Source organism: Homo sapiens, chromosome 7 (assembly GCF_000001405.40).
Source record: "Homo sapiens chromosome 7, GRCh38.p14 Primary Assembly".
Classification (NCBI taxonomy): Eukaryota; Metazoa; Chordata; class Mammalia; order Primates; family Hominidae; genus Homo; species Homo sapiens.
Genome location: NC_000007.14, coordinates 112,190,803 through 112,207,245, shown reverse-complemented (window position 1 = coordinate 112,207,245; position 16,443 = coordinate 112,190,803). Strand labels below are relative to the sequence as shown.

Sequence of the window (16,443 nt, the reverse complement as noted above, 5' to 3'; positions counted from 1 at the left end):
AAATAAAACACACCTGCGAGGTCAAACCAAGCAAACCAAGGCAGTGTACTGGTGAGGAGAAAGAGCTGCTAATCCCAAAATTATAAACACACGCGCGCGAACCAGATCTGAACCAAACCCACTCAGCAGCTAGCTCAAAGCTGGGAGCTCCAAACCAGAAGACAAACGCTCAGGGAGCTTCCCCGGCGGAGGGGAAGGCCATTCCATGGCATTTTCTCCGCCATCCCATGGCATTTTCTCCGCCATCCCCGGGCAGCCCCAACCAAGTAGCCGCCACCGGCTCCAACCCATCCCGCTGGGCCACCACCCGTGGGGCCCAGTCGAACCCAGGTGGCCCCAGAGCTGAAGGGCTCCTAGGGTCAGACCAGAGGTCCGTTGCACACCCGGTCATAGAGAAAGGAAGACACATCAGCCGCGCCTCCGGGGCACCGTACTCACCCCCATAACCTACACCCCCGACTGTGCTGCAGCTCCCATCACGGTCTTCCTGCATTCGGGCGACAGCCCCCTGGGTCTTGGAAGCAGCCATTACCCGGCAGAAAAGAAAAGGGAGGGCCGCAGGGCGGGTCGGAGGCGGGGTGGCACCAGTAGAAACGCTACTGGAGGCGAACTCCCCGTCGACGTAATGTTTTCTCCACACCTACGCCGCGCTCTGGACCAATAGGACGCAATCAGTAAAACTGAATCCCCGCCCCGAACCACATTTGCCGCGCCCACTTCCGGGATGGGGAGGCCAAGAACTACAATTCCCAGCGTGCTGCGGGGCCCTGGGACGGGAGGGCTGGACTAGGCGCTGGCGGGCGGGGGTGCGCCGGAGAGTGCCCCGGCGTGTTCGCTTAGTTCAGTGAATCAGAACAATGACTGCGCCGCCGGGTACCCGGGAGCGCGTCGGAGGACTGTGAGCAGCCGCCGCCGGGAGAGCTGCGGGCGGCGCAGTGTCAACGCTGGGCTCGGGAGCCTCCAGCGCAGATCCTGCCCAGCGCCCGCAGCCCGCGCGAAGCCGCTGGGCTCCGGCACTGCAGCGCTGCTCGGGGACTGTGCATTGTTGTGAGCCGGAGAAGGGGCGCGGGGATTACAAAGCCTGAAGACCCCGGAGCCCCTTTAGCCATGTGGATACCTACGGAGCACGAGAAATACGGCGTGGGTGAGTCTCCGCGGGGCGAACTTTTATTCTGCTCTGGCCCGAGCGAGTGCGCATTTCTCGTCCTTGCCCCCGCGCCCCTCTCGCTCCGCCCGGTTGAAAATGCCTAATCCTGGCATCGCGCAGCTGGTACGGGGCTTTGCCGAGCCAGCTCCAGGCAGAGGGCTGCGCACCAGGCTCTCGCCCCGCACCGCCTGCTCGGCGCGCCCCGCACTGGTTCCCGAAGCGCCGGGACAGCTTGGGGGAGCGCGCGGCCGGCCCGCTAGCTTCGGGCTCTGCCTGCGGAGTTTGGAGTGGCGACTGGGCGTGTGTGTGTGTGTGTGTGTGTGTGTCAAGTTGGAAGAGGAGGCGAATGGGGTTTCTCTCCTTCCTTACCCTTCTTCCCCAAAGCGACAGGGAGCTGCAACGGTTCCTCTGGGTGGAGAGGGAGACAACAACACTCGGGCAGAGAGAACACCCCCAAAACAGTAGGGAGGCGCAAACCCTTCCCTCTGGCTCGGATCGACATTCCCGGAGTGTGGAATGTGGCAGGGTCCTGGAGAGAGCCGCTCTGACAAGCTGAGCCCTCTCTGACCCTCCTCCCTCTCTGCGATCCCGGATTTATGGGGTGTGTATGTTGCGGGGCGGGGGCATTGGTAAATTTCAACATCTGCGCCGCTCGGTTCTTTGGTCTTTGGAGAAGAACGGGTATTTCAGCAGTGTTTTTACTTCTGGCCACCCTCTCGACCCCGGGTGAGCGCAGTGGGGGCGGTGTGGCGGTACAGGGCTGCTGAGTGATAAATGGGGAGGGGGATCGGAAAGCCTGGTTCTTGGGGGCAGGGAGATAGCTTTTAGGAAAGCATACCCTGACACTGGCGTTCGGAGAAAAAGGAACAGGATAGCTCTCGCTGTTCTGTGTAAAGGTGAACAACAAAGGACATTAATGTTGACTGATGAATACAGGAGTCTCCCTTCCTTTTCCTCCTCCCATTTCAGGCGGGTTACAGTTCCCGTTTTTGTTGTTTGATTTCAGCTGGGTCGCCCCTTGACAGTTACTCCTTTTAGGGTTGAGACTATTAAGAAGCCAGGCTCTCCGACAAGGCTGCAGCCGGCCAAATGCAATTATAACCTCCCAGAAGGTCTAACAGAAAGCATTATGGATTTTACTAACACTCTTTATTTCCTATAATGCCCTGTTCTGCCGACTGGTGTACTTTGTGTGTGTGTGTGTGTGTGTGTGTGTTTTAAAATTGAGGACAGGTCTAGTGATTTAGGTGATGTGTAGATATCTGCTTATGTTCTAAATTCATTTTCCTGCAATTTAAAACATCTGGAAAGCCTTCCCAGGGAGTCGTAGTCCGAGGGGATTTTTGTTTTTTTTTTTCCCAACTTTGCCTGGGGATAGGACTTTGGGGTCCATTGAAAGGACTGTAGGATTCAACAAAATCATTCCCACATTTCACGTTAGCTTCCATTCTGGATTGTGACTAATTACCAAGACAATAGTTTGACCTGAACCCACCTTTGGGAAAGGTTTCCAGCTTTCCCTCCTTCAAAGTGTCAGAGGAGTCTTTGCCAGCCTCTTTACTGGCAAGGAGTAGATGTTAGTAGTTGTTATTTTCGTTCTCCTCACTCTTCTCTTTTTTGGGAGGTAGATTAACCCTTGCTAGGGAAAAAGATAGTCCCTTTGCTGGACTGGTGAGGGACCCGAGGGCATCGCCTCCTAAGCGGCTTTAACACTCAGTGCAGGAAGCTCAGATCCATCCAGGCAAAACTGTCCTGCTTGGAGTCGATCCCAGATGTTGCTTTCTTCCAAGTGTTAAATTATACAGATTATGGATGGGATTTATTTTCTTGATTTCTTCATGTGCCAGGTCACAGCTGGGGTGCTGGTATCGATTAGTTCCTCTCTTGCCTTTCTTTACAAGCGGTGGGCAGAGGCTTAAAAACCACTCTGGGATTTCCTGGAATGGCAAACCGGATATTATCAGTCAAATGTTTTGGGCTGCAGCAGACACCTCGGTTTTGGGTGGTTGTGATTTGATTGCAGAGTAGGGGAGGCAGAAGGGTGTGCTCACAATTGAGAAAAAGAGGTTGAATGAGATGAAGGACGAGAGCAGAGAGAGGGTCTTTTGCCCCAAATTACTGCTGTTGTTCTCAATATCACATGTGCCAGAATGTTAATTAACCTTTATTATTAATTTTTGAGCATTTGGATTGTGGAATGCTTAGCTGTTTTTTAGAATCCATCTGTTAGGCGTGTGTGTGTGTGTGTGTGTGTGTGTGTGTGTGTGTGTGTAGTGAAATTTTTGCTAGGATACTTATGTGTGGACTTTATTTTTCACCATGGAGGGCACTGTTTATAGCTGCTTATATTGCAAGTTGTTTGTTTTTTCTTTTAACCTTGGTTAATGTTTGTGTTTTTCTCATGTAGTTCTTACAGATGTTAAAGAAAAGATCTTATGGGCACAGATCTTTGTTACCAAGTGTAGTGGTAATTTAGTTTCTTCATTCTTTGAAATAAATCAGTCTTTGTAACAGAATATGTGACGTTTTAGTATAAATTATATATTTCTGCAAAGGTACTTTTTATATACCCTCATTTATGTATGAGATAATTATGCTTTTATATACTTATGATTAAATTTTAAGCAGCATACTGTAAACATGGGTAAAATTAGTTAAATTTTATATCTGTAATTAAATGTATCGGAGATGGAAATTCTTTTTCGTAACTGATGTATAGGCACCGTCCCATTTAATGAATGATTAAATTCATTAAAACAACGAAAAGTCAGTCATAAGTGTTCTGATTTTAGGAAAAGGTATAGTGATGAAGTTATAGTTCTGAGGAACAGGGAACCTTGTCTTTTAGAAATCATGTTAAGAGGCACAGTGATAGGCAATTTCACCTTAGGAGATTCTAGTTAGCTCTTGATTCTGGGCTAGACACTGCTGCCAGCTGTGTAACCTTAGGTAAATCACTTAGCCTTTCTGGGTCCCAGCGTCTGGGGCAAGTGTTAACTAAAGCCTTCCCTGGTACTAATTTTGTAGAGCTCTTCCAACTAACTGTGTTCTTTGGTTAGAAAAACATCTTCATTGTGTTGAGACTGCTATGACAGAGACACTTTTGTTGTGACATATCTCACTTGGTTTTTAAGTAAGATCAGAGGTAAGCAAACGCTACCTGGCAAGCTGCCAGAACTGAGGTGCTGGTTCCTCTCTTTCTCAATTTGTTTGATTCTCTCTGGCTAGTAGGAGCTCCATGGGCAGTGACTGAAGCATTTTGTTTGTTTTTTAAATGTATTTTCCTTGACAAATAATAATAATATATTTTTTAAGTTTTCATTTTTTTTTTTTTAATTTAGAGACAGGGTTTTGCTCTGTTGCCCAGGCTGGAGTGCAGTGGCTATTCATAGGCGCCATCATAGTGCACTATAGCCTGTAGCCTCAAGCTCCTGGTTGATCGCCTCAAGCAATACTCCCACCTCAGCCTCCTGAGTAACTGGGATTACTGACATGCACCTTCTCACCCAGCTGTATATATTTATGGTGTACAGTGTGATATTTTGATGTACGTTTACAGTTGGAGTGATTAATCAGGCTATTAACAAATTACACCTCATATAATTACCATTTTTGTGGTGTAAAAAACATTTAAAATCCATTCTAGCACTTTTGAAGTATACAATGCATTGTTATTTATTGTATCTCCATTCTGTGGATATCACCTCCCATCTGTTAGAATGGCTGTATAAAAACAATGAAAGGTAACAAGTATTGGTGAGAGTGCAGAGAAAAGGGAACGCTGTGCACATGTTAGTGGGAATGTAAATTAATACAGCTGTTATGTAAAACAGCATGGAGGACCTTCAATGAACTAAAAATAGAATTACCATATGATCCAACAATTCCACTGCTTGGTATATATTCACAGGAATTGAAATCAGTATGCTGAAGAAATATCTGCTATCCCATGTTCATTGAAGCAGTTCTCAAAATGTCTGAGATATGAAAGCAACCTAAGTGTCCATCATCAGATGAATGGGTAAAGAGAATGTAGTATCTATACACAATGGAATATTATATAGTCTTGAAAAAGGGGAAAATCCTGTCATTTTCAGTAATGTGGAGGGTATTATAGTAAATGAAGTAAGTGTAAGTCTGGCACAGAAAGATAAGTACTGCATGATCTTGCTTACATGTGCAATCTAAAGAAGTTTACTTCATAAATATAGAGATTAAAGTGATGGTTGCCAGAGTCTGGGGGAAGAGGGTGGTTGGGGAAAGTGGAGATGATGATCAAAGTGTACAAAGTTTTGGTGAGACAGGGGGAACATGCTTTAGTGATCTATCGCACAGAATGGTGACTAAAGCATTCTTGATCGCATACTCACCAATTTCCTCAGATTACCTCTACCTCCTGCATGTCCTCATCTGTTAGCACACCCCCCCATTCCTCCCCCCTCCCCACCCCGCCTTAAAGTGGTGGGAATTATTCATGGAGAAAGCTAAGACCTTTGCAGATTGTTTTTGCGTTCATTTGTCCAACAGGCTTTTATGCACAGATTCACAGATGAGTCATGGCATCTTCCTGAGCTGAAGGCTGCACCCCTCAAACCTAGCCAGATGTTTTACATGTGTGAGCTTAGTTAAGCTTGACAGGAGAACACGGGCTGGATTGATCGGTGCAGAAAATCCATGAACCTTATAAGAAACAAAACTCAGAACAAGCTGATCTGAAGTCACAGTGTCATTTAAAAAATAAATTGTGTGGTGCGAGTATCACTCAGTCATCACATAAATTCCTGTATTCTATTTTTCTTGAAGGAGTTTTTGAACTCATCTGGGTAGGAATCATGTTCCTTTTTAAAGCCCCTTCTATGTTGGTGGAAGAAGATGCACCTTCTCGTATTCATACAGGATAGTTAGGTGTCTTTCTCCTTAGAAAGATGCTTTAATCATAGCGTATGTGTGTGATAGAGCGTAATAAGGATGTGTTTCCTTTACTCTTAGTTTTTTGTAGTTTCTTAGCTAACAGTTTCTTAAAGTGTTTTCTATTAGTGGTCCTATGATGTATCTACATAGCATGTAAAGCTAAATAATAATGTTCTGCTTGGAATTGTTTGTGACATTTAGAGCCTGACACAGGATTCTAAACTTTAAGTGGGAATAGAAGAGAAATGATTTATACCTCCCAGTAAAATACCACCGAAGGGCCATACAGACAGTGGGATAGCAGCTTATGTTCTTGATCTGGCCTCCTATGGGAATGGTCTATAAAAATGTTCCCCTCTTTTGGTCATTCCCCTAAGTGACAGTTCTTCACAAGGCCCCTGAAGCCACATAGAGATGCTGCTCTTCCTCTATGATCTTGTTTTTTTTTGTTTTTTTTTTTTTATTTTAGAGGCTGTTATGGTAGCTAGTACGAGGGAGATTATACAAATTTCAAGAAATTTAGGATTTCCTATCTCTAGCTCTATTCTTTTCCAAAAGGAGACAACATTTTCTGAGTTATGTTTGATACAATATGTCTATGTTTCTATCACAGTGACTTCATGCTGTGAATATATACATCAGAGGAACATTAAACTCTAATGAAACCCTTCTAAAAGGCTGTAACCGTAACACAGTAATACAATGTTTTACTTAAAAAGTGAAATTATTTTATCTGAGTCTACCCTTTGAAGTTGAATGGTAATTTCTATTTAAGAGATGAGAAAACAGTTTCATAGAGTTTAAGTGACTTACTCTAGATTAGTAGCTTTTAATCTTGTTTGACTATTACCCATAAGAAATATAGTTAATTTCCTGACCTAGTATATATATAAATATCCCCCAGTACCACCCCACACACATATAATTAAAACAGCACTTGCTTATACTCTATGTAATGTTCTATTCTTTTTTGTTAAAAAAAATACTTGTCACTAAATTGACTTGTTAATGGGTCCTGACCCACAGTTTGAAAAACACTGCTTTAAATGCTACATTTGTGATACCAGAAGGACTGCAACTCACATCTTACTGGGTTTCTGTGAAGTTCCTTTCATGACATTGGCAAGGAGTTGATGGTGGTGGTGGTTATTGTCTTTGATAGTCAGATATGTGGGTTTATTTTAACAAAGAATTTAATTATCCTTTTTTCCTTCAGTCTAAGTCAAAGTCTGTCTTCTGTAGTATTTCTTATTAAAGATGGAACAAATATTTAAAGCCATCACATGCATTGCGTAAGTTTTCTCTTTTAGTACTTGTATGTCTTCCTACCAGGACCTTTTTGACAAGGATTACATAATGACCAATATTAGACTCTTCTGTATCATGTCCTTTGACAACACTCTCTGGTCACTATAACAGAAGAGTAAAGATAATGGTTTACTGAGGTACTTTGCCAGTTGTAGGTTTACCACTCACTATTCTTTTGTACCTTTTTTTATGTTGCTGATCATTATTAGAAAGACAAGGCAACTTGTATAACTTGTTTTATTAAAAAAGTGAACTATATGCTTATTTGGCTAGAGTATATAAGACAAAAAAATAAGGAATTAAAGTTCCCCAAGCCTAGCTTCATTTAAGCAACTTAAACTTACTTCAGGAACAACTCTTGGACTCTCTGGCATTTAAAAAAAATTGTGCCAAGATGACATTGGGTAACTACTAAGTAAATAAAAATCATCAAAAAAGTGGAATGCCTTTGGTAACGTAACTGCAGTAAAACTGATATGCAGTACCCTGAGGAATGTATGGTAATCATGATCCTTTTGGAAACTTTTATATAACTTTTATTGGAAACTGCAATATAAAATAGCATTTGTGGAGCACTTGCTACATGTCAAGCACAGTTCTAAGAGCTTGTCTTATATTGTCATTTAATCTTCATGATACCTCATGAAGGAGGATTCAGTTATCACTCATATTTCACAGGAAATTGAGTCATACAGGGATTAAGTAACTTATTTAAGGTCATACTGTAAATGGTGGAGCTAGGATTGGAACCTAAATTGTCTTGCATAGAAACTGTTCTCTTAGCCATTACGCCATGTTACCTAGTATGACAGTGGTTAGCAGAAGTTTGAATCAGTAATCCCACCCCTTAAAGTTTATGTGACAAAATAAATCAATAGCAACAAAACACTTTATGCACAGAGTTGTCCCTTGCCGTGTTGTCTGTGAAACAACTTACATGACCATGTAGTCGTTAAATCAGTTTTGGTTATGAGCACGTTGGAGCATCAGACAATCATGAAATGAAATATTTTCATAAACAACACTATTTCAAAAATATATTCCAGGTATCTAGTGTTAAATGACAAAAGAAGAGTAAATATAGACTATGATTAGAGCTACATAAAATGTGTAGCCTATAGAGAAGAGGCAGTCGATGCACAGATGAGAACAATTTTTTTGTTAGAATATATAGATTATCAGTAAGTTCTTTTTTAAAAAATCTGTTTGGAAATATGAGCAGTATTGAATTTTAAATTACACATTGTTATTTATGAAGGAAGAGGTGGCATAAAAATGAGTAAAGAGAGGCACTGCAGTAACTGAGGTGAGAGATAAGTCCATGAATCAGGTTAGCAGTCATTGTCATGGTGAAGTGTGGATAGATCTGAGAGATATTTAGGAAATGAAAGCAACAGGTTTGGTCATCAGATATGAGGAGTTAAAGTAAGGAAGGAGTTTAGGATGTTGTCTTAGCTCAGGATACTATAACAAATATAGACTGGATAGTTTAAACAAAAGAAATTTGTTTCTCACAGTTCCGCAGGCTAGGAAGTCCAAGATCAAGGTGTTGGCTGAGTCAGTTCCTGGTGAGGGCCTTCTTCCTGGTTTGCAGGTGGACATCTTCTTGCTGTATCTTCACGTGGGTAGGGGGAAGGGGTCATGGGGAGGAAAGGAAGCAAGCTTTCTCTCATCTCTTCTTATAAGGTCACGAATCCCATCATGAAGGCTCCCCCTCATGGCCTAATTACCTCCCCAAGTCCCCCATCTCCAAATACCATCACATTGAGGATTACAGTTTCAATATGTGAATTTTGGGGGCATATAAACGTGATTTATAGCAGATGTCTTCCTGTTTTTGGCTTGGGTGCCTGGATGAATACAGGTGCCATTCAACAAAAGAACCAACTTTTTTTTTTTTTTTTTTTTTCTAGGCAGGTCAGGCTTATGTAAGATGAAGATTTTTGTTTGGCCACCTTGAGTTTGAGATACCTGCAATTTTTGAGATACCTGCAAAACATTCAGGTGATGAGGTCTAGTAGAAAGTGAGTCTGCACCAAAAAAGAGAAGTTCTGTGCTGAAGAGTGTGATTAAAGATTATTTGGCTTAGGAGTGAAGGCTGAAGTAATGAGTCTAAATGAGACTTCGCTAATTGCTTTGACTTTGATTATGTATAGTCTGCCTGTTCATTCTAAGTTTTAACATGACAGACCCCAAATTTCAAACAGCAGTCATCTCGAGGCATTTTATTAATATGGGTACAAAGGATTCTCAAGTAAGAAATATTAGCTGTCCATTTAGAGTTGGTCGTAAACTACATTTTACAGTCTTTTCTTGCTTCCCTCTAGGGCGTTGCCTAGCTAAGGCATTAGTTATTTCTATGTCTGTGACAGTCTTCTCCCAAACAAATATTTCATGCCAGATTGTGCACGTTTGTGAGATTTCCCAGTAAGGATGTTGAAAAACAGAGTGCACGAATAATATTTCAATGAACAAGATTTATACATCCCTGAAACAGCATTTAAGAACACGCACCCATCTAAAAATGGAAAAATGCTTCAATATATAAAGCAATAGATTTGTACATACAGTTTTTTTTTTTTTTGGTAAATATATAATACCTCTTAGGAACCACAAGAATTCTTAAAGTTATACTATGGCACTCCTGAAAAATAAGTGACTTAAAGGAAGGAATTCTAGCTTATGATGGCACTAGGTTCCCTTCCCCTCATGTAGGCTCTCCTAACTAATCAGTGAAATAACAATAAATTCACAGAAAGAGGCAAACATTAATAATACTGAAAACTAAGTCTGACAGAACGTCTGTTGGCAAAATTCACGTGAAATTTCCCTAAGGCAGGTGGAACTGGTTGAAGAAAACCAATGTTTTCTTGGTTTTCAGTGGTACGGCGTGGTGATTATAGTTAACAATAATGTATACTTGAAATTTGCTAAGAGAATAGATTTAAGTATTCTCACTACAGGAAAAAAAGGGAACTGTGTGAGGTGCTAGATAGTTAATTAGTTTGATTGTGGTAATCATTTCACAATGTATGTGTGTATATTTAAGGTGATATCAACATCAGTTTGTACAACTTAAATATATACAATTTGTATTAGTTAACAATACCTCAATAAAGCTGGATTAAAAAGAGAAAAAAACCTATTGGTGGCTTCTTTTGGCTTTCCCTTATTAAACAGAGAGGCCTCAATGACTGGAAAGATGACAGGAAGACCCATTGCCCCTTCCCCACTCTCTGTCACCAGCTTAGAGACCAGGTCAATACATCCAACTTGGAGCACGCCATTTACTGCCGGAAGCATCTGTAATCCTTCTCTTTTCACCCCATCTTTTTAATTCTGTTGAGAGATGACCACTCTCAGAAACGAGCAGGACAGGAAGGTGGGTAGGTGGGTGGAAAGGGGTCTATAGAAGATGCCACTTCACCATTGAGAAGTGTACTGTGGTCTTCATAAGGACAGTGATTTTGTAGTTGCTTTGAAAGTATTGCAATAACAAAGCTTACTGGATAGTGTAGTTTTTCTGGCAGGGTATTGGTGACAGAGAAGGAGGTAGGGGGATAAGAGATGATTTCATCTGAATTGCCCTAAAACCGTGGTACATGGTATATAATAACTTACAACTGGGAACCTGGCTTGGAGCTGTACACATCAACTAGCCTTGAACGCAGATCTGAAAGTGGAATTGAACCCATACCTTTATTTTTAGCTCAGTCCTTCGCGTTGTAGAGAGGTTCGAGATCCAGGTTGCCTTAATCAGTGATCACATTTGCATCTCTATGGAAGCGGGAAGGCAACTAAATCTGGACAGGCATCTGTCACTTAGCAATGAACGAAAACATGGCTGTTTCTCAAGAAAACGGGAGAGTGAGGAAGAGGGGAGAGCATGACATTTACATGGGAGGCTTTTGGAAACTACTAACACATGTGTATTTGTTCTCCTCCCCCATTTGTGCCCCCTCGTGGGAGGGTGGTTGGTGAGAACCCTTCTGGATATGAAATTTGTAAGTTTTCCTGGTTGAATTTGCTAACAACTTATCTCCCAAGTTGTGAAACATTTTCCTAAACCAAGAAATTTGCTGTTTATTAGACTATCAATTGGACATTAACCAAAAATTTCTCCCTGAAGTCTTTAAGCAGAAACGTGGAGATTTGGTTCTATGTCTTATTTTTTTTTTTCTCCAAAATGGAATAATCTCATCCGTTGTTGGCAACCAGAAGTAGGCAGGTTTGGGAACGTGGGGATGCATGTACATAAGGCAACCGAAAATAGCCCCAACCGAGATCCTGGATGAAACATTATTCACTTTGTGGGGAGAGGAGAGAACCTGTTCTCCATTCTCCTCTGGTAGCCAAAGTTGGTTGAGGAGCTTGTAAAGCTGCCTTGATAACAGGCTCAGGGGTTAGCCAGGGTCTCAAAGAAATACGAAAACCCAAAACATCAACAGGCAGTTCTATAAAGAATGAAGAGAGAAGAAACCTCTGAGGTTTTCTCCAGTAGTCTGGATGAAAAACATTAAGATCTGAGGATTCCTAAAAAATTGCACACATAGTAAAGGTTTGCCCCTTCTCCAGTTTGTTTGCTAGTTTGTTTATTTTTTGAGATGGAGTCTCATTCTGTTGCCCAGGCTGGAGTGCAGTGGCACAATTTTGGCTCACTACAACCTCTGCTTCCCAGGTTCAGGTGATTCTCCTGTCTCAGCCTCCCGAGTAGCTGGGATTATAGGTGCCCACCACTGTGCCCAGCAAAGTTTTGTATTTTTAGTAGAGATGGGGTTTCACCATGTTGACCAGGCTGGTCTCGAACTCCTGACCTCAGGTGATCTGCCCACCTTGGCCTCCCAAAGGGATGGAATTACATGCGTGAGCCACTGCGCCCAGCCTCCAGTTTGTTTTTTTAGGAGAACTATATTTGTATTAATTGTATGTAAAATCTCCATTAATACTCTCATCCATAGTTATAGAAATTGATTCAGAAGACTAAATATTTATGTTCTTTGCCCCAGGTTAGGCAATATCATGTATACACTATGTAGAAATTATTGTAATGAGTTTTAAAATGGGAAAATACTTATCAGAGGTGAAGAATTGGCATACACATTACCTGTAATGTTCTTACAACCAATTATTATAATTGAGGAGATGGCTTATTTTTAATTTCATACTTTCTAGTAATTTCTTAAATTAGCATACATTTCTTTTATAATCAGAAAATCATTATGTAAGTTCTTCTATAAGCCAAACATTATTTCCTTTGTGAGGTTTCCTTTCAGGATTAGAGGTTGGACTGGTAGAAGTTGAGTCTGGACAGCCTGAATTTAGTTTGTCATTTATGTGCAGAAAGTACTGTGTTTCAAAATTTTAAAGTAGCTTTCCTTGTTATATGAGTTTGACTGCCTGTGATGTCACTGCTGTGTTCATTTTCCAGTATCCACAGTGAAGATGTGTTTTCATATAGCTGTGGGGTCTAAGCCTTTGAAAGGGAGCTCTAATTGCTCTTTTAATTTGTTGAAACAGCTTCAGATGAATTCACCTAAGGTAAAAATTCTGCTCTCTCCATGAAATGTTTGCTTAGAAGACTGATGTTGGTGTCACTGCTCACTTTTCCTTTGTTCTATAAACTCTGTCCTGTTGGACTATGGACCCAGGGATAATTTGTGCAGGACAGACCTTTCAACATAGAGAGTCAACAATTTGAAGAGGTTTTATTTAGCAATTACAGAATAATAGGAATAATTGCTTATTTATGGGTGCTATAAACTGAATGTTTGTATTCCTTCAAAATTCATATGTTGAAGCCCTAACTCCCAATATGGATATATATGGAGTAAGGAGGTTACTAAGATTAAATGAGGTCATAAGGGTGGGGCCCTGATCTGACAGGATTTGTGTCTTTATAAGAAGAGATCCTGGAGAGCTCACATGCTCTCTTCATAGGTAGCATGAGAAAGGGCCATGTGAGGGTGCAGCAAGAAGGTGGCAGTCTGCAAGCCAGGAAGAGAGTCCTCACCAGGAACTAGTCCTGCCAAACCTTGATTTGGGACTTCCATGCTTTAGAACACCGAGCCTGTGGTACTTTATATGGCAGCCCAAGCAGAAGGGTTAAAGACATTTTAGGGATTGTAGGAAGAGGGATATAAAAAAAGTAGAAGCAGGATCCTCAACCTCAGTGTAATCAATGTAGTTAGTGTTGGCTCTCTCTGTGATTTGAGATCTGACTCTGCAGGCCCACCTCTGGAGGCACAGACTTAATTGAGCTAGAATTTTTTTTTTTTTTTTTTAAGGCATGGTCTGGCTCTGTCGCTCAGGCTGGAATGCAGTGGTGTGATCATGGCTCACTGCAGCCTTGATCTCTCAGGCTGAAGTGATCCTCCTGCCTCAGCCTTCTCAGTAGTTGGGACTATAGGCATGCACCACCACACCTGGCTATTTTTATTTTCATTTTTTGTAGAAACAGGGTCTCACTATTTTGCTCAGGCTGGTCTTGAACTCCTGGGCTCAAGTGATCCTCCTGCCTTAGCCTCTCAAAGTGCTAGGATTACAAGTATAAACGACTGCACCCATTTGAGTTAGATTTTTTGATGGTAGATATCGACTAGTAACTCCAGGTATCTGTTTATTTGAATAATGGCATTTTTGCAAAGTTGCTCACATTGTCTTGAGTTGTCACATCACTTTGGGTGCCTTCAAAGCAACCAAAAGAGGTAGAGTCTTCAGATGCTTCATTTCTTTTTGCTACAGTTTTTTATAAAAACCTAGGGTGACAGGTTTAATCATATAGGTTAGCATTTTTAAAAAGTAGATGGAAGTTTTATTATATGAAACTTTGGTTGGGGCATTGGGTTAGGAGTACTTTGTTTTTGAAAGTCCTGGCTGTTGAATATCAGGTCCCTGAAGAGAATGAAGCAATATTTGGAGGAATTTCTTTTCTTTTTCTACTATCCTTAAGTATGTGTTTCCTGAGAGTAGCTAGTACCTTCCTCTAAAGATTTACTTGTTGCATTTTTTTTTCTTAGTGACAAGCATAAGGGCATATTTTACGACATGTTGGTAGAAAAACTTCTGTTGGATGATTATTTATGGTATATGCCTATGATGTATAAGGCAATATGCTAGCTTGATAAGCATCCAAAGAGATATAGAACTGGATGACTGGACAAGTGAAGGAGCTAGAAATGTTTCATAGTTTTATCTCATTTACTTTGAACAACATTTCTTCAAGATAGATGTTACCCTGATTTTGTTTTTAAATACACAGTAAGGGAGTACATAAAGTATCACAGATAAATCAGTGTGAAAGTTAAGACAGATATTTCCCCTTCAAGCTTTAAAATGAAGATAAGGACTTGGGATGGTGATGATATTATTCACTTGTGCACCTGAAGAAACAGCCCTGAGGAGGAAAGAGTGTCTCATATCCTGGAAGACTCAGAACTTCTACAAAAGAATAGAAGTTTCATATTGAGATACTTCCCATAGGAGTGAGTCACCGGCTGCTAAGATCGCCCAAGATAAACAGCTGAGTGGAATCACATTTTAAATATCTGGAAAACCTTCTTCCTCTTCCTTTTGGGTAATTTCCACCTCCTCCCCCTCCCCTCCCCCTTGTCCCCTCTTATTCCTGTCACCTGACCGATGTTAAGTATCTTGGAAAATGGTTTATCTTTTTTTGTGTGTGATTCCTTCTAAGACTGGGCAGAGGAAGAAAGATGGATTTAGGATCGATTCTTCTCCTTCAAGAGATTTTGGGAAGGATAAATAGAAACTATAGTATATAATTATATATAAATGCACACTATATATATACACACACACAAGCACAAACACTGTATATATACTATATTTAAATTATACTATGTTTAAGTTATATACTATATAATATATAATATTTAAGTATACTTATATATAATTATAATATATATTATATAAGTATATATAGTATGTAATGTTATATAGTATATAATTTAAACATATCCATATTTAAATTACAGAAAAATAAGAGTGGGCAGGCAGAGGAAAACCCAGCTTTAGGATGAATGCTTACCAAGGGCTGGGCCTGTGTGATTGGCCCTGTGCACATACTCCAGCCTTACAGCAGACCTAGAGAGGGCCAGTAATTTGTTGCAGGGGACCCACCTGTGAAGGGCTGAGATTCAGGCACTCATCTGTCCCAGCCTGAAGCATGTGGTCCCTTCATGGTATCACACCTTTGTACATACGACTTAGGGCCAGAATCTGGAGGCACAGCCCCAGGCTTTGGGGTTCTATGGGCAGTGCTGAAGAAATTGCTCACTATACTTTATTTTTTAAATAAGATACTAGTGTTAATACCAGTATTATGTGAAATAAGTCCCCACGTTGTCTTTTTACTCTAGCATTGGTCTGTGGTAGTGATGGTCAGTCAGTATGCTGACTGCTGGTGGGTGGGGGTGTGGGGCACAGTGGTGACAGAGGAGCCACTAGGTGCCTCAGGAGATGGGGATGGGTACTAGAGGGGTGGGGAGAAATAGGGAAATGGGAGCCAAGGACCAAACAGTGCTGAGTGACGTGAAGGGAATAAATGTGTGCGTCTTTGAGTGAGGATGGACCAGAAGCAGGGAGGAACCCTGGAGTGAAAATAAAATTCATGGCTGGCGTGATGGCTCACACTTGTCCCAGCTACTTGGGAGGCGGAGGCAGGAGGGTTGCTTGAGCCCTGGAGTTTGAGGCTGCAGTGAGCTGTGATCCCACCTGTGACTAGCTACTGCACTCTAGCCTGGGCAACATAATGAGGCCCTGCCTCAAACAAATAAACTAAACAAAACAAGAAACCTGCAGTAACAGGGATGCCTAGAAGGTAGGGGGCTAGAAAAAAGGGAGGATTCCCATTCATTGGAGGAGCAAGAGAAACCCTGAGCTCTGAGGCTTGTGGTTCTGATACTGGAAGCCCTTGCTCTGCTGGGACCTGGGGCTTCACATTCTGCTTCATCTATGCTCAGAGAAGCCCTGTCCTACCTGTCCAAGGAGTTGGTATGCTCCTTGGTGTGCTTAATAGGTACCTCTTTGGTCTGAATTACTGCTGTAGTCTTCTAATCTTT

The 16,443-nt window shown here is 41.7% G+C and overlaps 2 protein-coding genes across 15 annotated transcripts in view, besides 2 other annotated features; one reads left to right on the top strand and one right to left on the bottom strand.

The window, feature by feature from the left end:
* Positions 1-551, bottom strand: part of ZNF277 (zinc finger protein 277) — a 137,240-nt gene extending 136,689 nt beyond the window's left edge. For all 3 annotated transcript variants that reach the window (NM_021994.3, XM_011515768.4, XM_017011720.3), the window contains exon 1: positions 439-551. In NM_021994.3, coding sequence (NP_068834.2) covers positions 439-529 — 91 coding nt within the window. In that variant the 5' untranslated portion in view covers positions 530-551. The remainder of the gene's footprint in view (positions 1-438) is intronic.
* Positions 336-455: an enhancer, noted in NCBI's record as "active region_26510". NCBI's record gives its function as "activates an Ori minimal core promoter by ATAC-STARR-seq in GM12878 lymphoblastoid cells {active_cell/tissue: GM12878}" and the evidence as "EXISTENCE:reporter gene assay evidence [ECO:0000049][PMID:35858748]".
* Positions 626-975: a silencer, noted in NCBI's record as "silent region_18544". NCBI's record gives its function as "represses an Ori minimal core promoter by ATAC-STARR-seq in GM12878 lymphoblastoid cells {active_cell/tissue: GM12878}" and the evidence as "EXISTENCE:reporter gene assay evidence [ECO:0000049][PMID:35858748]".
* Positions 847-16,443, top strand: part of DOCK4 (dedicator of cytokinesis 4) — a 480,290-nt gene continuing 464,693 nt past the window's right edge. For 4 of the 12 annotated variants that reach the window (XM_047421081.1, NM_014705.4, XM_006716189.3 and 1 more), the window contains exon 1: positions 847-1,144. In XM_047421081.1, coding sequence (XP_047277037.1) covers positions 1,108-1,144 — 37 coding nt within the window. In that variant the 5' untranslated portion in view covers positions 847-1,107. Of the gene's footprint in view, positions 1,145-1,177; positions 1,874-16,443 lie in introns of those variants that run through there. The other 8 variants (XM_017012825.2, XM_017012821.2, XM_017012823.2 and 5 more) reach the window with 4 other exon arrangements.